Source organism: Homo sapiens, chromosome 9 (genome assembly GCF_000001405.40).
Source record: "Homo sapiens chromosome 9, GRCh38.p14 Primary Assembly".
Classification (NCBI taxonomy): domain Eukaryota; kingdom Metazoa; phylum Chordata; class Mammalia; order Primates; family Hominidae; genus Homo; species Homo sapiens.
In genome coordinates this window covers 70,240,866-70,267,596 of record NC_000009.12, presented here as the reverse complement: position 1 = coordinate 70,267,596, position 26,731 = coordinate 70,240,866, and the positions used below count along the sequence as shown (strand labels likewise).

Genomic DNA, 26,731 nt, shown 5'->3' with positions numbered 1-26,731 from the left:
CCACTATATTAAACACCCAGACAGAAGAGAAAATGCCTGTGGGAAAACAGGTCCTATAGTATAACCACTAAGCACTCAAAGCTTCTTATTACCATTGAAGACTTCCTACAGTCGCGCAGGTTAAATATTAACAACCACGCTAATATTACCTATCCTGTTAATGATATAATTGCCACCAAGCATCGTTCTAAAAGGAGCAATATAATTGAAATTTACATGATAAAGCAGACATATCTGTGCTAGTTTCTATATGCTTATGAGTCTAAGTCCGAAAACAAAGTCTGAGCCTAAAAAAATCAGACTGGATCTTAAATCAGGCTATAAATAAGTGATAAATATTAAAAAAGGTAGAAAATATACCTCACAAATAGTAATCTTTTTAATAGTGATAATGACAGTGATGACAACAGCTAACATTTATCAAGCATTTACTATATACTGTTGTGCTAAGCACTAAACATGTATTTTTCTCATTTAATACTCATAAGCAACCTTGAAGTATACATTCATTTTATAGACAATAAAGCTGAGTCCCAGAAAGATGGGAGAAAAAAAAAAAAAAAAGCCTTATCTTGTAACCACCAAGTACAGCCTAATGCTTAAAAGTACAGGTTTTAACATCTACTATCTAGGTTCAAATCTCAACTCCACCACATACAAGTTGTTAAACATTGGACAGTTACTTAACCTCTCTGTTTCCTCACAGGAAAACCAAGGACATCCATGTAGGAATGACATCTGCTCATTAGCTTGCAAGAATTAAAAGACTTGGTACCAATGAGGAGGAAACAAAAATCAGGAGGCAGTTCTTATTATAAAGTATCCATACAGATGGTGTAGAGTATGTTTTTGTTAAATTTTTATATTAGCATTTAAACAAAAATACATTAAATATTCTTGCTGAGAACTTGGGCATCCCATAAATACATCTGTGTACCCAAAGGGCTGCAATCTGTCATCTAGGAAACACTGCACTCCACAGCCTCCCTTAAAAATCCTATCACTCAAGGATGAGATGTGTTTTCATGACAAAAATCAACATGAGAAAGTTAGTAAAAATTGTTATAGCCAATTCAGTCCTACTGTACAGCCCCTGGAGTACAATCCAACAGACGATTACAAAGAGATAGGGATTAAATGATCTGACAATTAAAAAACTATATATCAATATTCATAAAAATCTGAGTTGGTCCTTGGATGCTATCTGTTCCAACTCTCTCATCTTTGAAATGAAGAAAAACTGAAGTCCAGATAATTGCTCAAGGTCACAAGGCTAGTTATTAACAGAGAAAAGTATCTTCTACCTGATAAATGTCTTCCATATAGCACTAAACACACACACACACATTTTAAATAATTTATAATCTTAAGGGGAATTTGCTTCCATTTTGTAACCATCCATTAACTTTTAATTTTTTTTTTATTATTTCTATCTTAATAGAAATAGGATATGGTCTACGTGGTGTCCATTTTTTGAAATTTTTTGATACTTGCTTTATGACTCAGTATACAATTAACTTTTAGAAATGTTAACTTGTGCTTGAAAAGAATGCATACTCTCCAGTTGTTGAGTGCACTTTTTATAATATGTCCATTAGTTCAAGCTTAACTTCATTGTTCAAATCTTTTGTAGTCTAATTTTTTTATCTGACTGGTCTACTATTATTGATAGCTCTCCCAGTATGATTATGGATATGTTAACTGCTTGTTAGCATTCTGCAGATTTTGCCTATATATTTTGGAGCTAGATTATAATGTGAATTTGAGTTGGGAATCGAATTATCTTCCAGTGAATTAAAACTTTCGTCAGTGTTTAATGACCACTATTATCTATAAAATACTTTTTGCTCTAAAGTCTGTTTTTCCTAGTATTAATGCAGCTACATCTACTTTCTTTTGCATATTTGCCTGGCATGTATTTTTTTTCATCCTTTCACTCTCAACTTTTCTGTAGCACTTTATTTTAGATATGCTTATTAAAAACAAAAGAGAACTAAACATTGTTTCATTTCTCCATTCTAACAGACTTTATAATTTAATGAGAGTTTAGAGTTTAGATCATTTATAATCATTGTGATTATATCTGCACATATTTCTACCATCTTATTTTGTGATTTTTATTTTATTTATTTTTCTTGAGACAGAGTCTCACTCTTGTTGCCCAGGCTGGAGTGCAATGGTGCGATCTTGGCTCACTATAACCTCCGCCTCCTGGATTCAAGCAATTCTCCTGCTTCAGCCTCCCTAGTAGCTGGGATTACAGGCACCCGCCACCATGCCTGGCTAATTTTTGCAGTTTTAGTAGAGACGGGGTTTCACCATGTTGACCAGGCTGGTCTGGAACTCCTGATCATGGCCTCCCAAAGTGCTGGGATTACAGGCATGAGCTACCGCACCCAGCCAATATTTTGTCATTTTTAATGATCTCATTTTTTGTATCTGTTTCTTATCTCCTCCTCCTCCTCCTTTCTCAAGACTCCCTCTGGATTGTTCGGGCAGTATTTTTCCGCCCCCCACTCTCATGAATATGGTTAAGTGCCCTACGCAGGTGTACCATTTTTATCTTTTACACTGTATTTTTACTGTACCTTTTCTATATTTAGAGATGTTTACATAAGTACAGTGTAGGCCATTGTGTTACAATTGTCCACAGTATTCAGTACAGTAACATGCTCTACAGGAGTGTAGTCTAGGAGCAATAGGCTACACCATATAGCCTAAGTGGATAGTAGGCTAACCCATCTAGGTGTAAATATTCTCTATTATGTTCACACAATGACAAAATTGTCTAATGATGCATTTTCTCAGAATATATTCCCATCATTAAGCAACATATGACTGGATTTTGTTTCTGCCCTTTGTAAGTTTACTTCACTGTTCCACAAGCCAAGTGATGCATTTAAAAAAAAAGACATATTACATTATTTCTAGCATTTTAGGTGTAAGAGACTTGAAGAATCCTCTAGTATTATGATCCAAAATACTTCTAGAAATGAAAATCTCCTTCTAGCTTCTCTACCTGCCAAATTTATTCCTTGTATTCATGCACTATTAAGTTTGCTATACCCAAGGAACTGAGGTGTAGAAATTGATGTTACTAAAAGCAATTAATAGGTTTGAAATTTCTTAAAAAGTAATTATATTAACTCACCTTATCTGCTCGTCCCATGAAAGCAGGTTTTCCAGCTAAACCAAGGCAAATGGCACACACAATGCTCGACTTCCCTGTTCCATTGGCTCCAACGATCATATTCAAGTGGGGTCCAGGAGATACTTCACAAATATCATATGTTCTGAATTATAAAGAGATGAAATTATTAAGGAGAGATACAAAACCACTTTTCCTTGCTTTACATTATCTATGAGCTTCCTCAAATTCCTTTAAAAACTAGCTAACCTTACAAATTTAATGTTTTTTTATAGGTTTTTAATAAACAACTTTAGAAAGAATACCAATAGAAGAAATGAAAAGGCAGTAATGCATAACTAAAGAATATAATTTCATATACTTTTTTCAAAAGTCTGCTGAAGAAAGTGAAGTTTGATACCTTGTTCTTTTTTAATAATTACAAAACACTGGACACTATATCAAAGATACTACACAAAATAACTTTAAAACAAATTTTATAGGAGACGCCACGGCTTACCTTGAATCTGTGAATTTTACATTCATATTTCTTTTAAATTATAATGCTTAATGGTTATTCATATTTTAATATTTCAAACAATCTAAGCAGATTTTTAATTACAAAACTGAAGATATATCTCAACCCAAAGGTTTCATTTTATTAACTTTTAAAAATTATTTTCCAAGCCAGGCACCATGGTATGTGCCTATAGTCCCAGCTACCAGGGAGCCTGAGGCCAGGGTACTACTTGAGCCTAGGAGGTCAAAGCCAGCCTAGGCATCATAGAGAGACACTGCCCTACAAAACAAAAGTTGAAAGCTGACTAGCACTCTAATTATAGTTAGCATCTAATCTTTATTAGTTGCTAGGGACAGTTATGACAAAATGTGAAGCAAACTCTGACTCAGACATTCTTTTAACTCGCCTTTGAATACTCTGAATTTGAACCCATAAAGTGTCCTTTGTCCACAGCATTTCAGTTAGCTCTCAGGTAGCTGCCAACTAATTCCTCATGAATAAATGCTTAGCCTGCTATTCATCTGCTAAGTATATAAATAACCAAGCACACACATTAATATTTTAAGAAATTAATGATTTTGAAATGTCGGGTGGTAATAAAAATACAGGTGGCAAAGACGTATTTTCTGGCAGGTTTGCTAATCCCACACCTCTACACAGCATCTACTACTTTATCTTTTTAGCTGTTTTGTTCTGCTAGCAGCTGGGTTTCAAAAGAGCCCTTTATTATGGTTACAATAAAACTAGTTTGGGAACTTCAGACATGTAGGAAATTACCTGACATGGAACTTCTTACGCTCAACACATGAAGCCCCACTTGGATTTCCTGTTGTGAAATCTCTGTGTAAATGTTATACTAAAACGATGAAACTGGTATTTAAGAAAACAGAACAGGGAAAAGCATGAGAATTTCTGGCCTATAAAATACGCATCGATATTACAAATAGGGACAGTTGCCAAAAACAAAGCCTCTGCAATTTTTTTTTTTTTGGCGGGGGTAGGCGGGGGATTTTTCTTGCCTTTAGCTACCCAGATCAAGTGTCTGCACTGTTTAAAATCAATCTTCTGATTCTACGATGTATTTATTGGGAATTCCCTTATCATGAGTTTCCTTTCCTCTGAGCTCCCTCTGAAAGAGCTATTGGTAAAGACCCACCCTCTTATCATTCCATATACTTCACGAGGTATCTCATGTATTCTCTATGGCCTCAATGATTCCTTTTTTTCTCCAAGTCTTTGCATACTATCTACATGCTGAAAGCAGTCCAGATGACCTCTATATGCAATGGTCACCTCAATAACGCTATTTGAATGTCCCATAACAGTCATCTTAAACTTAACACATTTAAAACGAAATCCACCATCTTTCCCATCCAAAACCACTCTTGTGGTCTCTTAGTGAATGGTATTATCATTCATGCCATTGACCAAATCAGAAACCTAGGCATTAGTTTTGCATCCTCTTTGGTTCTTTCATCTCTTTTGACTCCACCCAAACCACCACTCCATCATCCAATCAATCACCAAGTGATGCTGGTAGAATTGTAAATCTGATGTCACTTGTTAAAAAAGAAAAATTAAGGAAAAACCCATCACAGCCGAGTTTCATCTTTTTCTACTTTTTATCTCCTTTCCCTATTCTCTCCTTAGACCTCTAAATTCTACCTATAATGTACTTCTTTCAGTTTTGTGACTATAATTCCTTATTGCTCTGAAGTATTTGCACATGTTATTCCTTCAGCCTCCAAGTGTCTTCCTCCACTCCCAACTCCATTTGACTTGGTTCACTCACTACTCTCTTCCAGGCCATTTACATTCTCTAACTACCCATCTTATTTCCTTGCTAATTCTCTAAGCGCATCTTTCTCTACCTCATGCCTAAAACTCAAAATCCCCTCATTAAAATAAACAGCATCTCACCAACCTCTGCACTTCCAGCTACCTTCTCTTTCTTCTCTTTGCATCCGGCCTGCAAAGTTTTCTGCTTCCACTGCTTCATTAAAAGGTCAAAGATTTCCCAATTGCTAAATGCAGTGGGCTCTTTTCAGTCCCGCTATCTGACTTCAATGTAGCAGGTGATATTTTTGAAACATTCTTTTTCCTTGGCTTCTTTGATAATTGTCTCCCACTGTTTTCATCTTACCTCCCTGAATAGTTCCTTCTGACTTTGAGTCCTTCTTCAGTTCACCCTTAATGTAGGCATTCTCCCAAGACTCTGTACATGGTCTTCTAGTTCTTCAATTCATAATTCCTATTGGGCAATCATAACCAGTTCTGCAACTTCATCAATCACCTGTATGCATGACTCCCAAAACTCTCATCTGTTCATATTTTCCTCTAAGCTCCAGACTCCTACATTCTGCCTATAGAACATCTCTCTTAGATGCCACAAAGGAAACTTTAAGTCACAGGATCTAAGAGGCATTTATTATTCTCCTCAAACTGCTCCCTCTTCTGAATAGCACCTGATCAATTAGCTAAGGCTCTTACACTTGGGAAAAATGCTGCATTCCTCCCTTTCCCCCATGCCTCACAACTATTCTGTAGCTGGATCCTGTCAAATCTCATTCCTTCACACTCTGATCATCTCTTGCCTTCGTATTGTCTTTTTGCTTCCAATCTTGCACCCTTTCTAAATCATCCTCTACAGTGCTTCCAGAATAACACAGAACACACGTCATTCCCTGTTGAAAACACACCGTGGCTGCCTACAGGATGATGTCGGAACTTCTTAGCATAGTAAACATACAGGCCCCTGAATGGTTGCTTACCCTTTGTCCAAATACTCATTCACATCCTATATTCTTGCCTTACTAAAATACTTGACGCTTTCTAAATATACCAAACTATTTCAGACAGTTCCTTCTGTCTTCAATGCTCTTCACTTCTTGCAAGACTTTCCTATCTTCTTAGGCGGGTGCAGTGGCTCATGTCTGTAATCCCAGCACTTTGGGAGGCCGAGGTGAGTTTCTTGAGCCCAGAAGTTCGAAACTAGCCTGGGCAACATGGTGAAACCCCATCTCTACAAAAAAATTTTAAAACATTAGCCAGGTATGGTACGCGCCTATAGTCCGAGCTACTTGAAAGGCTGAGGTAGGAGGATCACTTGAGAAGGGGAGGTCCAGGCTTCACGGAGCCCTGATCATGCCACTGAGCTCCAGCGTGGGCAACAGAGCAAGACCAAAGACTTTCATATCTTCTTTACAAAGCCCTTTCTCATACTCGTAGACAAAACTAACCACTTCATCCTTTGTGAAGGATCCTGATATATGTTGTTATGGTATCTAACTCATTTGATTACATTTATCTTTCCTGATCTGGATTCAAATAGCAATGCAACTATGTAACAGCTGCGTAAAACTGGGCAAAATAACCTACTGAGCTTCTTTCAGCAATGGAAATTATCAAGATAGAGTTGTTATGAAGAAAGAATGAGTGCACTATGTACCTGGCACACAATAGGTGCTTGAAAAAAAAAGGTAGTATTGTTATTACAATTCTGTTATCCTTATGCCACTATGTGCAAGCTTTAAAAAGACTTCCGGCCGGACATGGTGGCTCACGCCTGTAATCCCAGCACTACGGGAGGCCGAGGCGGGCAGATCACCTGAGGTCAAAAGTTCCAGATCAGCCTGGTCAACACGGTGAAACCGCGAGTCTACTAAAATACAAAAAAAAATAGCTGGGCGTGGTGGCGGCTGGCTGTAATCCCAGCTACGCGGGAGGCTGAGGCAGGAGAATTGATTGAAACTGGGAGGCGGAGGTTGCAGTGAGCCGAGATTGCGCCACTACCTTCCAGCCCGGACGACAGTATGACACTCCGTCTCAAAAACAAAAACTAGCCGGGCGTGGTGGCGCGCGCCTGTAGTCCCAGCTACTCGGGAGGCTGACCCAGAAGAATCGCTTGAAACCGAGAGGCGGAAGTTGCAGTGGGCCGAGATCGCGGCACAGCACTCCATCCAGCGTGGGCTACAGGAGCGCAACTCCGTCTCAAAAAAAAAGAGGAAAAAAAAAAAAAAAAAGACCTGGAACAAATGAACTGGAAGGTGCTAGGCAAATACATGATATATTTAAAACTTACTAAATTCTAAAGCGGTAACTAGTTGTCTGAAGGGGAGAGGGAGGAACCAGGGAAGAAAACTGGGTTTAGTGGGGTCAAGGGTTTGTAGGGAGGTCCAACAATTGCCAGTAAGTGTTTAATTTTTTTGTACCTGTAACCTCCATTCCCGAACAACCTTTACCGTCTTATCTACTCCTCTCTGGCAAATGCCTACCCTAAGAATCCGCCACAGCATCACTATCACGCCGAATTAACTGTTGCCTCCTCTTAAGTTCCCGGGGACAATACTTCTGTGAATTCCAGACCAGGGCCGCTATGGATCGCGACTCCCAGCGGGCAGAGACCTACTCCCTCCTACAACCACTACCTGCTACATGACACCTTTGGAAAACCTTGGCTGACTAAATTTAAAAACCACATCACCCAAGGCACACATCTCCTACATCATACACGTCAATCTCCACAGCCTACGTAGGAAAATCCTCAAGGGAACCCCGGCACGAATTCAAGGCCAGACCCACAAGCCAGGTACACACCCACACGCCCACGCCCGCGCGCTGCCGGAGCCCCGGGGCCTGCTGGCCAGCACACCTCCACACCCGCGGCGCGGCCTCCGGGCAACTTACAGGAAGTTCTCCATCGAGATGCGGACGATAGAGCCTTCCACGAAAGGCCCGGACGACTGCAACAGCGGCAGCTGCGGGGCCGAATTCTTCCTCTTGCTCGGGACCTCCGACGAAGGGTCTCTCGGGAGAGCTCTCTTGGAAGGCTGGGGGCTTGGAGTTGACGTCTTCTTGCTCGGAGTCGCCATCCTGGCTTCCTCAGCGTCCCACAGCGACTTCCGTTCCCACCGTCCGGCAGCCCAGGCGCCCAAGCGCCCATCCACCCAGGCGCCCCGCTCCCGCGCGAACTGCCGCGAACTGTTACCGCGCGCTCGCTCCCGCGATCTCGCGCCGCGCCTGCGCAGTTCAGGTCCGGCGACGTCAGCAGGCCCGCCCCGCCCCTCCCGCGCTCCGCCGCGCTGTGCGAGGCCCAGACTGAGGGCGAAACAGCAGGCAGGACTGGGTGGAGACGTTCGGGGACGTGGCAACTGGAGTTTCTTCTCCGTATATTTCGGCATTCAGTTCCTTTTTTTTTTTGTTTTAACTCAGGAAAAAATCTCAATTGCGTTTAGTATTTTGAAAGCCACTTTATTGCTTCCCGAGCCTCAGTCATGTGTGGTGGGAGGCTGCTGTGGGTGGCACCTGGGGCGTCCACGGCCGCCAAGGCGGGAGGACGTCAGGCCCTGCTTGCTCCCACCCCTTCCAGGTGAGAGCTCCCGGGCACGCCCGTCGTTGGCTCTTCGTCCTCTTGGTGTTCTTCCCTGTTGCTTCAAATCAGGTTCCTGTCTCAAAAATCCGAAAAAGAAATCCTCCCAAATGACTCTGTGCCCGACGCTCCGTTAAGGCATCGTGCTAGGCGTTCTCAAACTCGTGAAATGACTACACTGCACAGGTTAACCTCATTGCTACTCTTCCCCTTGCCTCCTAATTCTCTGGTTAAACTTCCGCCCCCGAGGTTTCTAGAAATCCCTGAGCTGGAATGCGCTGCCTTCATTAAGAGGGTGTTCTGCTTCCGTCTGCTCACATTCATCTAGTAAGCCCTCTCGTTAAAGAGGAGGCAGCACACCGAGGCCTGTCTAGAACTTCTTTCATTTAACCAACAGTGAATATCTAATCTACAAGAAACTGGAGCCGTGGCAGTTTAGGAGCCTGCCAAGGTTGCATCCCTGGGAGCTTATTTTCTATTGTGGGAGACAGGAAAAGAACAAGTGAATCAACTGTGAAATTAAATAATTCAAACTTAAAGCTGTTGGAACTTTAAATTATTCTGAGCCTTGCGAAGAATGTGGCGATGGGGCCTGAGTCCCATGGCATACAGCTGCAATGTCTGCCTTGTTTTTTCCTATAATCAGGAAGACCAAACAGAGACAGAGGTAAGACCCCCTCAGATCACTACCCCCTTCATAAATTAATATAGTTATCTTCCTTGGAATGTAGCTATCTATAACTAATCTAATCGCTGTAATTTATGCACTGCTCTTGTATTGAAAATGTACTCCTGCTGAACCTTCTCTGTTTCTGCCTGTGTAAATGAAACCTTAACTTCACTTTGGAACATTGACCCTATTTGTTTGGAGTTGGTGTTTCCAGGTGGCTGTCCTCAAGCTTTGCGTTAGAATAAACTCTATACTTAATGATATTTTCTGAATTTCACTACTTAAGGCTGACACAACAAATGATTAGCATAATGTCAGACTGTGACAGGTGTTAGGAAGAAAACAAAATGAACCTGATGGGTGGGAGGTACGGAAGGCCTCTTAGAGAGGTGGTGGTGTTTAAGATAAACTCTGAAGGACGAGAAGAAACTGTGACGATCTGAGAAAAGAGCACCCCAGGCAAAAGAATTTTGCTGGAACATACCAGTAAGGACAAAAGCTCTGAGGTGGGAAGGCCAGTGTTGCTGCAGAGCAGTGAACAAGGTTGCAGAGCAGAACCTTGTCCATCGTGGAAAAGCCTGAATTTTATTTTTAAAGCAATGGGAAGCCATTGCAAAGTTTTAAGCAGGAGAGGGCCATGTTCTGACTAAAGCTTTTAATTTTTTTATTTGATTTTTTTTATTTGATTTTTTTGAGACAGAGTCTCACCCAGTCGCCCAGGCTGGAGTGCAGTAGTGCCACCTCAGTTCACTGCAAACTCTGCCTCCCTCGTTCAAGCGGTTCTTCTGCCTCAGCCTCCCGAGTAGCTGGGATTACAGGTGCATGCCACCACACCTGGCTAATTTTTGTATTTTTAGTAGAGACGAGGTTTCACCATTTTGGCCAGGCTGGTCTGTAACTCCTGACCTCAAGTGATCCGCCCACCTCGGTGTCCCGAAGTGCTGGCACTACAGGCATGAGCCACTGTGCCTGGCCTTAAAGTTTTTAAATAATAATTCTGGTTGCTGTGTGGAAAATGGATTAGAGGGCACCAAGTGTGGAAGTGGAAGGCCACTTAGAAAGCTATTGCAGTAGATCCCTGATTCCTGACTCCTAGACCAAAGCTCCTTTCCCAGGTCTCTGCTGCTTCCTCTCACACAAGGACTCCGCTCCAGAGAAAATAGAGTAAGTAAAAAGCATGTGAACTTGTCGTAGTTACTGGAAATTTTCTTAAATGCAAATGAAAATGAGAGAGACGGGAAGGAAAAATCATTGAAAAAATTCAGACTGCAGCAGCAGCCTACCTGAAAAGTCACAGCAACAGGCAAAAAATAAAACAACCTTGGGAAAACCTCAGGTTGCACCTGGACAGATAGACAGCTTTAAGCACAGATAAACAAGCACAGGAGTGGGAGAGTCTCGACTTCATACTCATACAATGGGCCCCAGTAAAAACTGTGAGACTTAATAAGTACATTCCTTTCCGTTTAGGCCCACTAAGATACGGAAGCGAGAAGCTTATACAGGGAGGGTTGGGGGATGCCTGCAGCTGCAAGAAAATGTCTGGGAACAGACACAGAAACTTAAGCGACACAAAGCAGCACAGAGCAGCATAAACTAAAAGCCTGCTTATGTGATCAAGGAATTGGGTAAAGGCTGTTAGGAACTCTGCTCTATGCCGATAGCACACCTGGTCCCAACTAAATCTTCAGGCCCTGGGAAGATAAGACACCCCTCCTCACTAGTCCATTTATAAAAACCCTGACGTTTTTACTACAACTTGGCAGTCCAGTCAGACTCCCCTCTCTAATGCAGAGAGCTTCTTTTCTTTCTTTCACTTATTAAACTTTTGCTCCAACCCCACCTTTGTGTCCACGTTCCTTAATTTTCTTGGACGTGAGGACAAAGAACCCAGGGTACTAGTTCAGACAATGAGAAACTGCTACGTTAAGGTGCGTTGGTGAGACTGCAACAAAAATAAAGAATAATTTTTAAACTGTTCAAATGGCGGTGAGTAACGAAAAAACTCAGTGCTCAGGAGGGCACAATACTGTCCTTCCCTGAGTTGCTAGCATGAATTTTTTGAAAAGTAAAGGCTCTGCTTCAAGAGCTGTAGAAAAGTCAGATTGTTTGATGAAGTTACTACATTTAGGGGAATCTACCCTGATGAACAAATAAGAATTATAGACATTAGTAATGGGAGCTGAGGGCAGGGAGCTAGTCATCATTTTTGTACAATGATCAGTCCTTTTTTTTCTTCCCTTTTTTGGCAATCAATAGCAACATTTATTTCCTAGATCCCCCAGGAGAGGGGTAAGGAGCCAAGAAACCCCACATTATAAGACTTGGAGCCTCTGAAGTAGCTGTGTGAATAGCATGATTAAATAATTTCAGATTTTCTGTGTCTTCTTGAGTCAGTTTTAATAGGTTGTGCTTTTCAAGTAATTTGTCCTTTTCATCTAAGTTGTCAAACTTATTACATGAAGTTATGTGTTAATATCCATTAACGTTTGCAGCATCTATAGTGATGCTTCCTCTTTCTCACTTGATACTGGTAAATTGTTCATTTCTTCCTCTCATTTATTAATCTAGTAGAGGTTACGTATGTTTTATTAATCTTTTTAAAGGAACAACTTGATTTTTGCTTTTGTTGACTTTTGATTTCATAATTTCTACTTATCTTCGTAATTAACTTTCTGTTAAAGTTTAATTTGTTCTTTCCCCTCCAGCTTTTTAAAATTTGTTCTTTCCTCCTCAGCTTTTTAAAAATTATTTTTTGAATATATATATATTTGTACATATTAATGGGGTACATGTGCAATTTTGTTACATGCGTATGATATGTAATGATTAAGTTAGGGTATTTATAATGTCTATGTGATGGGTCCCTTTCAAGTCTTCCAGCTATTTTGAAAAATACAATAGATAATTGTTAACTATAGTCACTCTACTGTGCTATCAAACATTAGAATGTATTCCTTCTATGTGATTAGTCTTTAGTGAACTAATCAAATTGTGTTTCTAAACTTGAAATTTTAGAATGAGTCCCTGAACTTGTGATGACTTCACAAATGTAGACACTCTACAAGTTTTAAACAGCTACTCAGTCATGCTGTAACACCATCCTTTTAAAAAGGAAATGTTACTGGTTTTAGCTGTGATTACCATAGCAACACATGTTAAATGCAGAAAATTTGGGAAAACACACAGAAAAACAAACACATGCAAAGGAAAAACTTATAATTCCTCTACCCAGACTAATTGTTAAAATTTTGGTGTATGTTTTGGCATCTTTTTTTCTTGTATACTTGTACATATGGTCTGTGCCTTTTGTTTTAAAAAAGGATGATTCTGCACAAATTGTTCTATAGATACCATATTTACCCCTGTCCCCCACTTAATATATTATGAATAACTTTCCATGCCATAATTTTTTTTGTGATATAGTTTTTTTTTCTGTGATATAGTTTTAAGTAATCACATAGTATTCCATTAAACAAATGTACCATTCTTGATTTAAATAGTTCTCATTTGTTGGATTCTGTATAACTGGAAGTTAGCATAACCAAAGATTCTCTGGCAAACTATACTAGCTCAGTGCTTTTTAACACTTTGAAAATTTCATGCACCTATCAGAGTATACACATTATCTTGCCACATCTCGATTATTTAATTCCACTTTTGCAAACCATCTTGAAAGAGGTGATTTTAAAAAGGCAGAGGGAGATTTTTGGAAATAGAATATCAACCTGAATTTGATGCTAATTAATGAGTGAGCCACAATAGAGCCGATGCTACTTATCAGCTTAGTCAGACATCAGCTAATAGACATGGCAAAGCAATTGTATTTAACTTTCTACTGACCAAGGAGTAAGTAACCAGGGCCATTTTGAGTGACAGCCTTCCAATTCTGCAGGAACTTTAAAAACTGACAAATAAAAAGTTGACAGAAATGGGCAGGGTCAAGGATTATGCATGTATTTCACCTCACTATCACAATACACTGTTTTAATTTGGGTTGGTCTGCTCTAAGAAAATACCATAGACTGTGTGGCTTATAAAAATAGAAATTTATTTCTAGCAGTTCTAGAGCTTGAGAGGTGGGAGATCAAGGAACCAGCAGATTTGGTGTGTGGTGAGGGCTTACATCCTCATAGACAGTGCCTTCTCACTGTGTCCTCCCATGGTGGAGAGGAAGAACTCATCTCTGTAGCCTCTTGTAAGGGCACTGATCCTATTTATGGGGGCTCTGCCCTCATGACCTAATCACTTCCCAAAGCCCCCACCTCCTAATACCATCATAATGGGGGTTAAGTTTCAACATATAAATTTTGAAGGGATGCAAACATTTAGACCATAACAACTATCTTCTGTGTTCTCTTTTTTGGCTTTACTCCAAGCTTTTGATAATGGTGCCACAAGAAATTGGAACAAGGTGCAGGTAATAGAACCCTGTGAGACCGTCTCTAACTGAGGGCATATTACTTTTGCTTTTGGCAAATTCATAAAGTAAATAAGTGAACCTTCATGGCCTGAAAGGGAGGGAAGAAGGCAGATGGTAAAACTCAAGTCCTTGGTACCCAGGACCAAGTCCCATTCTATCCCCCCAAACGCTGAGCAAAACCACACACTTTCTAATCAATCTTGTTAAAGAATTGGTGGAACAGATCTAGGCAGGGATTAGGGATCTGAGGAAAACCAGTGCCCCTCCCACGGAGGAACTAAAACCCCATACAGCAGGCTTCTGCTGGAGATATGAAAACCTTCTTGAGAGAATGTTTAAAAATGTTTTTCGTTTTTAAACATTTGTTTCAAACATCATACAAAAGTTTAAAATGATCAAAATGTCTGCTGCTTCTTACTGTAGTAGTATTAACATTGGAACTGCATAGTAGTAGCTGTAGAATTGGTAGTAATAGCTAATACAACAGCATTTACCACACACCAGCTATGGTTCTAAGCACCTTTACTGATTTCATTTCTATATGCTGGATCAGTGTCTCAACAGACTGGCCTCTTTCTAAAATTTCTATTTATTGGGTGCAAAAACTGACGGAAAGATTCAAAAAAATAATCACAATTAATGTAACATTTCAAGTGTTCTTTGTGATGTGTTACAATAGAGAGCCTAAAGATGAATGGGCCTTCATCGCTTTCAAGGATGTAAAATGAGAAAACAGTATTAAATTGTTCCAGAAGAACTGACCTTCAGTTTCAGAAAGATGAATGAGTTGCTAAAGCACTGTGTAATCTCCTTTGCTGGAAGTCTGTGCTTATTGAACTCACAGTCCTTCTTGCCCAGGGAAGGCCAGGAACATAAGCAGAGCTCTGGGAGGACTTCGGGAGTGGACGAATGTTTCTTCTCCTACCCCGTTACTTCCCAAAGGAAAGAAAATTGGTAGTTGTCAGAACTGTGGTAAAACTTCAGAAACCAGCTACCTAAATTATAAAACGAGTCTTTTGGTATCAGTCTCCTAGAGTGGCACTTTCATCCTAGCATTGTTCTAACAAGCTGGGATGCTGCCGAGCTCCCCCAGAAACGGGCTGGTTTTAAGTTCTCATTTCCACTGCTTTCATTAGTAGATATAATTTTTTTTTAGAATTAAAATTATTTTTGTATTTTTGTTATTTAGGAAATTTGAATATCCAAAAAGCACAGAGCAGAAACCAGTCACCATTCATCCACATTCCTACAATCAAAAAAAATTAACACATGGCAATTTGACATATCTTCTAGTTTTTGTTCTTTCCTATTATCTACTTTTTAAAAAATTACACGTGGGGCCGGGCACAGTGGCTCATGCCTGTAATCCCAGCACTTTGGGAGGCAGGCGGATCACTTGAGGCCAGGAGTTCAAGACCAGCCTGGCCAACATGGCGAAACCCTGTCTCTACTAAAATTACAAAAAGATTAGCTGGGCGTGGTGGTGTGTGCCTGGGGTCCCAGCTACTCAGGAGGCTGAGTCATGAGAATTGCTTGTACCCAGGAGGTGGAGGTTGCAGTGAGCCGAGACTGCCACTGCACTCCAGCCTGGGCAACAGAGTGAGACTCTGCTTCAAAATAAAAAATAAATTACATGTGAAACATATGATTACATTCCCTTTTTAAAAGTGAGAATAATACAAATAAAATTAGTGTGCATTTGACGTTTATCTCTCTCAGTCTTGTTGCTTTATCCTTTATCCTCCAGAGTTAACTACTCGTATGCGCTTGTGCAGTGTATAATGTCCTTTCAAGCCATTTTTGTATTTTACATGCATTTTTTCTATAGAGAATATGTAATAATATTTTGAGTGCAAATGTATTACATAAACACAATATATTAAATACATACATAAATGTATTAATATAAAAATAAACTAAGAATAGTTATACAATTTGATTTTATATTAAAAAGTATATATTTTGAAATGTGTCCATGTTGATACATATAAATCTAATTCCCTTTTATTGCTGTAGAGTTTTTATGTGAGTATATGACACTTTATCCATTACTCTACTAATTTGACATATAGATTGCTTCCAGTTTTTCATTTTTACAGTGTTTCAGGGATATGTCTTTATGTACATGTGCAAGCATTTCTCTAGGATAGATACCAAAGTTTAGAATTGCTAGACTGTATGCCATACTTATTACTCTCCTTCAGTTTCTTGGTATTGTGGATATTATTGCTTGTGGCAAATTTCTTGGTAACTGATAATTTGAGAATTATATCAGTACAGGCTTGACTCAGTGGCCCATGCCTGTAATCTTAGCACTTTGGGACGCCAAGGAGGGTGAATCGCTTGAGCCCAGGATTTGGAGTCCAGCCTGGGCAACATGGCAAAACCTCGTCTCTACTAAAAATGTAAAAACTGTGGGTGGGCACGGTGTCTCACACCTGTAATCCCAGCTCTTAGGGAGGCAGAGGCAGGAGGATAGCCTGAGCCCAGGAGTTTGAGACCTGCCTGGGCAATACAGCAAGACCCATTCTCCACAAAAAGGAAAAAAACAAAAACTGAGGGGGGAGGATCACCTGAGCCTGGGGAGGTTGAGGCTGCAGTGGGCCGTGATGGCACCACTACACTCCAGCCTGGGTGACACAGCAATACCTGGTTTCAAAAAAAAAAAAATTATATCAGAACAAAATCTCTCTCATTTCCTCTCTCTACCATTGTCTTTAGTTCATCTCTCTCTCTCTTTTTCTCCCCATCTCTCTCGCTTCCTCTCTCTACCATTGTATTTAGTTGGTCTCTCTCTGTCTATGTGTGTGTCTCTGTCTCTCTTTCCCTCCCATGCACCTGCACATACACCTACAGACACACATATCTCCTTCACACAGTGTCCTCTCTTTCCTCCACCATATTTTCATTCTATGGGGACTGAAGCTTATATAATTTTTGAAGTATCCTCTGAAAAAATACAAAATTACAAGTACAAATTCTGATTATTCAGAATGGGAGAAAAGCTCACAGTCTCAGCACTGTTGACATTTGGGGTTAGCTAGAGTTCTTTGTTGGGGGAGGTGAGGCACTGTCCTGTGCATTGGAGGATGTTCAACAGCATCCCTGACCTCTACTCACTAGATGTCAGTAGCACCTCCCTTATTTTGACAACCCAAAATGTCCCAGATATTTCCAAATGTCCCTTAAGGGGCAAAATTGCCCTCAGTTGAGAACCATTGCTCTAATTCTATCCATTCTTTTGGCGTATAGATAAAGAACACTCTCCAGTTCCTCTTATGAGTCTTACTTTGTCTAAAATCAGATAATGAAATTAAAATAAATGAAAATGTTCTGTTAATCTTACTTTATGAACATATGTGAAAATATCCAGCAATGTCCAAAAAAAGTAAATATAACATGACTTGAGTTCACTGAAGGAATTCAAGGTTGATTAAATACAAGTAAGTCAAATCAATTAATGTAATTCTTCATATGAAAATATTAAAGGAGAAAGATTAAAGAAGAAAAAGCATTCAATAATTTTCTTTTTTTTAAAGCAAGGCTATCATATACATAATATGTATATTCAGAATGGGAGAAGGAGTTGGAGTCCAGCCTGGGCAACATGGCAAAAATATATATATTATGTATATTATGTAATATATAATACGCATTACTTATACATACTATAAATATATATTATTTCAATAGCCTTTGAGGTACAAGTAGCTTTTTATTACATGCAAGTATTATACAGTGGTGACATCTGAGATTTTAGTGCACTCATCACCTGAGTAGTGTACATTGTATCCAATATGCAGTTTGTCACCAGGCTGGAGTGCAGTGGCAAGATCTCAGCTCACTGTAGCCTCAACCTCCTGGGTTTAAGCAATCCTCCCACCTCAGCCCCCCAAGTAGCTGGGACTACAGGCTTGCGCCACCATATTCGGCTAATTTTTTTGTATTTTTTGTAGAGACGGGGTTTTGCCATGTTGCCCAGGCTGGTCTCCAGTTCCTAAGTTCAAGCGATCTGCCTGCCTCAGCCTCCCAAAATGCTAGGATTACAGGCATGAGCCACTGTGCCCAGCCTATATGCAGCTTTTTATCCCTCACCCCTCTCCCACTCTCCTCTTTCTGAGTCTCCAAAGTTCATTTTACCACTCTGCATGTTTTTGCATACCCATAGCTTAGCTCCCACTTATAAGTGAGAACGCTCTGTATTTGATTTTCCATTCCTGAGTTACTTCACTTAGAATAATGGCCTCCAGCTTCATCCAAGTTGCTGCAAAAGACATTATTTTGTTCTTTTGCTGAATAGTATTCCATGGTGTATATATACCACATTTTATTTTTCCACTCATTGATTGATGGACGCTTAGGTTGGTTTCATATCTTTGCAATTGTGAACATTCAATCATTTTCAACACACGTTCATGGTTAATATTTCTAGGAAACTATGCATAGAAGAAAACTTCCTTTAACCAATAAAAGGCAACTTCAAAAACATTGAGTAAATTCATATTCAGTGATGAATTGTTTAGAAATATTCTCTTTAGTTTAAGAACATTAAGGATGATACTATCACTACTTCTGTTGAGCACTGCATTGAATATCTTAGCCTGCCAAATAAATGAAGAACATAGGATAGAAGAGTTGAAAAGGAAAACCCAGGCCTGGCGCAGTGGCTCACACCTGTAACCTTACACTTTGGGAGGCCAAGGTGGGCAGATCACCTGAGGTCAGGAGTTTGAGACCAGCCTGGCCAACATGGCAGACCCCCGTCTCTACTAAAAATACATTAATTAGTCGGGCGCAGTGACATGCGCCTGTAATCTCAGCTACTTGGGAGGCTGAGTCAGGAGAACTGCTTGAACCCAGGAGGTGAAGGTCGCAGTAAGCCAAGATCTCGCCACTGCACTCCAGCCTGGACGACAAAGCGAGACTCTGTCTCAAAAAAAGAAAAAAAAAAAAAAGGAAAACCCAAAACTTGTCTTGCTAAGAAGTTTGACCTAATAGCAAAAGAAAATTGTAAGCAGAATAATGCTCCCCGCAAAGTTGTCCACATCCTAATCCTCTAAACTTATGAATTTTCAGATTGATCTGCATCATTTAAAACAAACAGAAGCATAGTATATGGAATATTAGATAATTCCTATAGATCTGTAAAAAAAAAAAAACCAAAAAACAAAAAAACCCAAATAACCCAGTAGGCAAATAGACAAAATAAGCATTTTTACCCAAGGTGAAATGTGAATGGTCATGGAATATATGGAAATATACTCAATTTCATTAATACTTAGATAAATGCAAATTAAAACCTCCATGAAATACATTTTCACAATTAGAGATAGGCAAAAATTAAAAAGTTGGACACTAGCAAGTTTTGGCACTTAAGTATATTGGTAAGGGTAGCGTGGATTAGTACAGCCAGTGGGAAACAGTTTTTTATCATTTGGTAAGGTGTACATATCCTACAAATCAGCAATGTATATACTAGATACATAACCTAAAGAAATTCTTTCACATGGGTACCTGGGTACCTATAAAAGAGTATTTTATCCCAATGATTCACAGTAGGAATAATCTAGAAACAACTCAAATATTTATCAATAGTAGAAAGGATTCATAAACTGCAGTATAATCATTTGATGAAATGCCATATCATAGTGAAAATTAACTACAGCTAGAAATTCAACATAACTGAATCTCAAAAATATAATCTTAAGCAAAAAAAGATGAGTTATAGATGAATATATATACAATGATTTTATCTGAACATTTTTTAAAAACCAAAACTAAACAATGTATTGTTAGGGTACATATATAAGAGTTAGGACTACATAAGAAGAAGTTTAAAAAAAAAGATTAACATGAATTTTAAGAACGTGCTTACCTCTCTGGCAGAGGAAAGGATATGTGATTGGGGAGTAGTACACAGTTTCTAAATTGTTGGTAATGTTCTATTTCTCATGCTGTATCAATGTTACATGAGTGCTCATTTGATTACTATTCCTTAAAATATATATACATTTTACCTACACACTTTTACAGTTACGTTTCACGTAAAAGGTAAAACATTTTCAATGGGAAAAAAAGAAAATCTTTAACGTATACATATTTAATGGAAAATATGTAATTTACCATATTAATGGATCAAAGGGAAGAAATAATTATCTCAATATATGCAAATAAACATCTGATAAAGTTGAATGTCTATTTGTAATAAACTCTTAGAAAACTAGGAATGAGACTGAAGTTTCTTAACTTGATAACTGCTATATATCAAAAACCTAGAGCATGCATTATAATTAATGAAGATACTTTGCATTCATTCTAATTAAGATCAAAACAAAGGTATCACAATCCTCAGTACTGAAGTTCCTAGATAATGCTCTAACATGAGAAAAATCATTAAGAGATTTAAAGATTCTTTGCTGGTTTTTCTCTGCTCACACTTATATATCTCTTGTTCGTCCCTCAACCTGCTCTATGCCCTGGGAGCCTGATTTCTCTGGCCAGTCACATCTCGGCTTGCTTGCCCCCTGACTGATTGGCTGGTGGGAGACTCTAGCAGGAGACTGGAGGGTGGTTGCATTTTGGTAGTGGCTGAGTTCCACCTCCTATGGCCACAGTCCCTATTACACAACACTTTTTCTATGGCTACAACTCTTCCTGGGCTTGGTAACAACTTCCTTGACTCTTCAGGGCTACCTTCTAACTGCCACATAAAATCAAATAAAAAACAAGACATGAGAATAGCCTGGTATTCTCAACTGACGTCGGAAACTGAGAACGCTCATGGAAAGTTTGAAGCCCCAATAATAGGCTTTTAGGGTAGGGGTCTCCTTTGCATACTATCTAATACCTGAGATGCTTGCACAAATTATTAATTCTTTCCCTTTTAGATTTTTTAAATTTAATTAATGTTCTTTATATTTTCCTTCCTTTTTATTTTCTTTAGATTTTGTGTTCTTTTTCTAATGTTTTGAGTTGGATGCTTGTCTGAATAATTTTCTTTTTTCTGTTTCAAGTTAATTTTTTTTATTATACTTTAAGTCCTGGGTACATGTGCACAACGTGCAGGTTTGATACATAGGTATACATGTGCCATATTGGTTTGCTGCACCCATCAACTCATCATTTACATTAGATATTTCTCCTAATGCTGTCCCTCCCCAGCCCCCCACCCCCTGGCAGGCCCTGGTATGTGATGTTCCCTGCCCTGTGTCCAAGTGATCTCATTGTTCAGTTCCCACCTATGAGTGAGAACATACGGTGTTTGGTTTTCTGTCCTTGTGTACTTTGCTGAGAATGATGATTTCCATAGTCATCCATGTCCCTGCAAAGGACATGAACTCATCCTTTTTTATGGCTGCATAGTATTCTATGGTGTATATGTGCCACATTTTCTTTATCCAGTCTATCATTGAAAGACATTTGGGTTGGTTCCAAGTCTTTGCTATTGTGAACAGGGCCACAATAAACATATGTATGCATGTGTCTTTATAGTAGCATGATTTATAATCCTTTGGGTATATACCTAATAATAGGATTGCCGGGTCAAATGGTAATTCTAGTTCTAGCTCCTTGAGGAATCACCACACTGTCTTCCACAATGGTTGAACTAATTTACACTCCCACCATAGTGCAAAAGCGTTCCTATTTCTCCACATCCTCTCCAGCATCTGTTGTTTCCTGACTGTTTAATGATTGCCATTCCAACTGGTGTGAGATGGTATCTCATTGCGGTTTTGATTTGCATTTCTCTGATGACCAGTGATGATGAGCATTTTTTCATGTGGCTGCTGGCTGCACAGATGTCTTCTTTTGAGAAGTGTCTGTTTATATCCTTTGCCCACTTTCTGATGGGGTTGTTTTTTTCTTCTAAATTCGTTTAAGTTCTTTGTAGATTCTAGATATTAGCCCTTTGTCAGATGGATAGATGGCAAAAATTTTCTCCCATTAGGTAGGTTGCCTGTTCACTCTGATGACAGTCTCTTTTGCTGTGCAGAAGCTCTTTAGTTTAATTAGAACCCATTTGTCAATTTTGGCTTTTGTTGCCATTGCTTTTGGTGTTTTAGACATGAAGTCCTTGCCCATGCCTATGTCCTGAATGGTACTGCCTAGATTTTCTTGTAGGGTTTTTATGGTTTTAGGTCTAACGTTTAAGTCTTTAATCCATCTTGAATTAATTTTTGTACAAGGTGTAAGGAAGGGATCCAGTTTCAGCTTTCTACATATGGCTAGCCAGTTTTCCCAGCACTGTTTATTGAATAGGGAATCCTTTCCCCATTTCTTGTTTTTGTCAGGTTTGTCAAAGACCAGATGGTTGTAGATGTGCGGTGTTATTTCTGAGGCCTCTGTTCTGTTCCATTGGTCTATATCTCTGTTTTGGTACCAGTACCATGCTGTTTTGGTTACTGTAGCTTGTAGTATAGTTTGAGGTCAGGTAGCGTGATGCCTCCAGCTTTGTTGTTTTGGCTTAGGATTGTCTTGGCAATGTGTGCTCTTTTTTGGTTCCATATGAACTTTAACGTAGTTTTTTCCAATTCTGTGAAGAAAGTCATTGGTAGCTTGATGGGGTTCAATATATATTGAATCTATATATTACTTTGGGCAGTATGGCCATTTTCACAATATCGATTCTTCCTATCCATGAGCATGGAATATTCTTCCATTTGTTTGTGTCCTCTTTTATTTTGTTGAGCAGTGGTTTGTAGTTCTCCTTGAAGAGGTCCTTCACATCCCTTGTAAGTTGGATTCCTAGGTATTTTATTCTCTTTGAAGCAATTGTGAATGGGAGTTCACTCATGATTTGGCTCTCCGTCTGTTAATGGTGTATAGGAATGCTTGTGAAATGGTGTATAGGAATGCTTGCGATTTTTGGACATTGATTTTGTATCCTGAGACTTTGCTGAAGTTGCTTATCAGCTTAAGGAGATTTTGGGCTGAGACAGTGGGGTTTTCTAAATATATGATCATGTCATCTGCAGAAAGGGACAATTTGACTCCCTTATTTCCTAATTGAATACCCTTTATTTCTTTGTCTTGTCTGATTACCCTGGCCAGAACTTCCAACACTATGTTGAATAGGAATGGTGAGAGAGGGCATCCTTGGCTTGTGCTGGATTTCAAAGGGAATGCTTCCAGTTTTTGCCCATTCAGTATGATACTGGCTGTGGGTTTGTAATAAATAGTTCTTATTATTTTGAGGTATGTCACATGAATACCTAGTTTATTGAGAGTTTTTAGCATAAAGGGGTGTTGAATTTTATTGAAGGCCTTTTCTACATCTATTGAGATAATCATGTGGTTTTTGTTGTTGCTTCTGTTTATGTGATGGAATACATTTATTGATTTGCATATGTTGAACCAGCCTTGCATCCCAGTGATGAAGCCGACTTGATCGTGGTGGATAAGCTTTTTGATGTGCTGCTGGATTCGGTTTGCCAGTTTTTTATTGAGGATTTTTGCATTGATGTTCATCAGGGATATTGGTCTAAAATTCTCTTTTTTTGTTGCGTCTCTGCCAAGCTTTGGTATCAAGATGATGTTGGTCTCATAAAATGAGTTAGGGAGGATTCCCTCTTTTTCTATTGATTGGAATAGTTTCAGAAGGAATGGTACCAGCTCCTCTTTGTACCTCTGGTAGAATTTGGCTGTGAATCCGTTTGGTCCTGGACTTTTTTTGATTGGTAGGCTATTAATTATTGACTCAATTTCAGAGTCTGTTATTTATCTATTCAGAGATTCCCCTTCTTCCTCGTTTAGTCTTGGGAGGGTGTATGTGTCCAGGAATTTACCCATTTCTTCTTGAGTTTCTAGTTTATTTGCATAGAGGTGTTTATAGTATTCTCTGATGGTAGTTTGTATTTCTGTGGGATCGGTGGTGATATCCCCTTTATCATTTTTTATTGTGTCTATTTGATTTTTCTGTCTTTTCTTCTTTATTAGTCTTGCTAGAGGTCTATAAATCTTGTTGATCTTTTCAAAAAACCAGCTCCTGGATTCATTGATTTTTTGAAGGGTTTTTTGTGTCTCTATCTCCTTCAGTTCTGCTCTGATCTTAGTTGTTTCTTGCCTTCTGCTAGATTTTGAATTTGTTTGCTCCTGCCTGTCTAGTTGTTTTAATTGTGATGTTAGGGTGTCAATATTAGATCTTTCCTTCTTTCTCTTGTGGGCATTTAGTGCTATAAATTTCCCTCTACACACTGCTTTAAATGTGTCCCAGAGATTATGGTACGTTGTGTCTTTGTTCTCATTGGTTTTAAGGAACATCTTTATTTCTGCCTTCATTTCATTATTTACACAGTAGTCATTTAGGAGCAAGTTGTTCAGTTTCCATGTAGTTATGCAGTTTTGAGTGAGTTTCTTAACCCTAAGTTCTAATTTCATTGCACTGTGGTCTGAGAGACAGTTTGTTGTGATTTCTGTTGTTTTACATTTGCTGAGGAGTGCTGTATTTGCAATTATGTGGTCAGTTTTAGAATAAGTGCGATGTGGTGCTGAGAAGAATGTATATTCTGTTGATTTGGGGTGGAGGGTTCTGTAGGTATCTATTAGGTCTGCTTGTTGCAGAGCTGGGTTCAAGTCCTGGATACCCTTTTTTAACCTTCTGTCTCATCGATCTGTCTAATACTGACAATGGGGTGTTAAATTCTCCCATTATTATTGTGTGAGAGTCTAAGTCTCTTCGTAGGTCTCTAAGGACTTGCTTTATGAATCTGGTTGTTCCTGTATTGGGTGCATATATGTTTAGGATAGTTAGCTCTTCTTGTTGAATTGATCCCTTTACCATTATGTAATGGGCTCTTTGTTTCTTTTGATCTTTGTTGGTTTAAAGTCTGTTTTATCAGAGACTAGGATTGCAACCCCTGGTTTTCTTTGCTTTCGATTTGCTTGGTAAATTTTCCTCCCTCCCTTTATTTTGAACCTATGTGCGTCTTTGCATGTGAGATGGGTCTCCTGAATACAGCACACTGATGTCTTGACTGTTTATCCAATTTGCCAGTCTGTGTCTTTCAATTGGCGCATTCAGCCTATTTACATTTAAGGTTAATATTGTTACGTGTGAATTTGATCCTGTCATTATGATGTTTACTGGTTATTATGCCCGTTAATTGATGCAGTTTCGTCATAGCATCAATGGTCTTTACAATTTGGCATGGTTTTTCAGTGGCTTGTACCAGTTTCTTTCCATGTTTAGTGCTTCCTTCAGGAGCTCTTGTAGGGCAGGCCTGGTGGTGACAAAATCTCTGAGCATTTGCTTGTCTTTAAAGGATTCTATTTCTCCTTCACTTACGAAGCTTAGTTTGGCTGGAAATGAAATTCTGGGTTGAAAATTCTTTAAGAATGTTGAATACTGGCCCCCACTCTCTTCTAGCTTGTAGGTTTTCTGCCGAGAGATCCGCTGTTTGTTTGATGGGCTTCCCTTTTTGGGTAACTCGACCTTTCCCTCTGGCTGCCCTTAACACTTTTTCCTTCATTTCAACCTTGGAGAATCTGACAGTTATGTGTCTTGGAGTTGCTCTTGTTGAGGAGTATCTTTGTGGTGTTCTCTGTATTTCCTGAATTTGAATGTTGGCCTGTCTTGCTAGGTTGGGGAAGTTCTCCTGGATAATATCCTGAAGACCGTTTTCCAGCTTGGTTCCATTCTCCCCACCACTTTCAGGTACACCAATCAAATGTAGATTTGGTCTTTTCACAGAGTTCCATATTTCTTGATGGCTTTGTTTGTTTCTTTTACTCTTTTTTCTCTAACCTTGTCTTCTTGCTTTATTTCATTAATTTGATCTTCAATCACTGATACCCTTTCTTCCACTTGATTGAATCAGCTCTTGAAGCTTCTGCATGTGTCGTGAAGTTCCCGTGCCATGGTTTTCATCTCCATCGGATCATTTAAGATCTTCTCTACACTGTTTATTCTAGTTAGCCATTCGTCTAATCTCTTTTCAAGGTTTTTAACGTCTTTGCGATGGGTTCGAACATCCTCCTTTAGCTCCAAGAAATTTGTTATTACCGACCTTCTGAAGCCTACTTCTGTCAGCTCATCAAAGTCATTCTCCATCCAGCTTTGTTCCGTTGCTGGTGAGGAGCTATGATCCTTTGGAGGAGAAGAGGTGCTCTGATTTTTAGAATTTTCAGCTTTTCTGCTCTGGTTTCTCCCCATCTTTATGATTTTAGCTACCTTTGGTCTTTTATGTTGGTGACCTACAGATAGGATTTTGGTGTAGATTACCTTTTTGTTGATGTTGATGCTATTCCTTTCTGTTTGTTAGTTTTCTTCTAACAGTCAGGTCCCTCAGCTGCAGGTCTGTTGGAGTTTGCTGAAGGTCCATTCCTGACTCTGTTTGCCTGGGTATCACCAGTGGAGGCTGCAGAACAGCAAGTATTGCAGAACAGCAAATACTGCTATCTGATCCTTCCTTTGGAAGCTTTGTCTCAGAGGGGCAACTGCCTATATGAGGTGTCTGTTGGACCCTACTGGAGGTGTTTCCCAGTTAGGCTACATGGGGGTCAGGGACCCACTTGAGGAAGCTGTCTGTCTGTTCTCAGAGCTCAGACACTGTGCTGGGAGAACCACTGTTCTCTTCAGAGCTGTCAGACAGGGACGTTTAAGTTGCAGAAGTTGTCTGCTGCCT

General features: G+C 39.4%; 1 protein-coding gene and 1 long non-coding RNA gene across 11 annotated transcripts in view, besides 3 other annotated features; one reads left to right on the top strand and one right to left on the bottom strand.

Moving 5' to 3' along the window:
- SMC5 (structural maintenance of chromosomes 5) overlaps positions 1–8,619 on the bottom strand; it is a 95,896-nt gene extending 87,277 nt beyond the window's left edge. For all 10 annotated transcript variants that reach the window (NM_015110.4, XM_005251837.3, XM_005251839.3 and 7 more), the window contains exons 1-2: positions 8,334–8,619; positions 3,152–3,293 (exon numbers count right to left, since the gene is read on the bottom strand). In NM_015110.4, the coding sequence (NP_055925.2) occupies positions 3,152–3,293; positions 8,334–8,518 (327 nt within the window). In that variant the 5' untranslated portion in view covers positions 8,519–8,619. The remainder of the gene's footprint in view (positions 1–3,151; positions 3,294–8,333) is intronic.
- Positions 8,333–8,532: an enhancer, noted in NCBI's record as "active region_28450". NCBI's record gives its function as "activates an Ori minimal core promoter by ATAC-STARR-seq in GM12878 lymphoblastoid cells {active_cell/tissue: GM12878}" and the evidence as "EXISTENCE:reporter gene assay evidence [ECO:0000049][PMID:35858748]".
- Positions 8,573–8,792: a silencer, noted in NCBI's record as "silent region_19938". NCBI's record gives its function as "represses an Ori minimal core promoter by ATAC-STARR-seq in GM12878 lymphoblastoid cells {active_cell/tissue: GM12878}" and the evidence as "EXISTENCE:reporter gene assay evidence [ECO:0000049][PMID:35858748]".
- The window catches only part of SMC5-DT (SMC5 divergent transcript), a 42,816-nt gene continuing 24,807 nt past the window's right edge, over positions 8,723–26,731 (top strand). Inside the window, exons 1-2 of the long non-coding RNA NR_039990.1 lie at positions 8,723–9,201; positions 9,662–9,682. This is a non-coding gene — a long non-coding RNA (SMC5 divergent transcript). The remainder of the gene's footprint in view (positions 9,202–9,661; positions 9,683–26,731) is intronic.
- Positions 8,863–9,052: an enhancer, noted in NCBI's record as "active region_28449". NCBI's record gives its function as "activates an Ori minimal core promoter by ATAC-STARR-seq in GM12878 lymphoblastoid cells {active_cell/tissue: GM12878}" and the evidence as "EXISTENCE:reporter gene assay evidence [ECO:0000049][PMID:35858748]".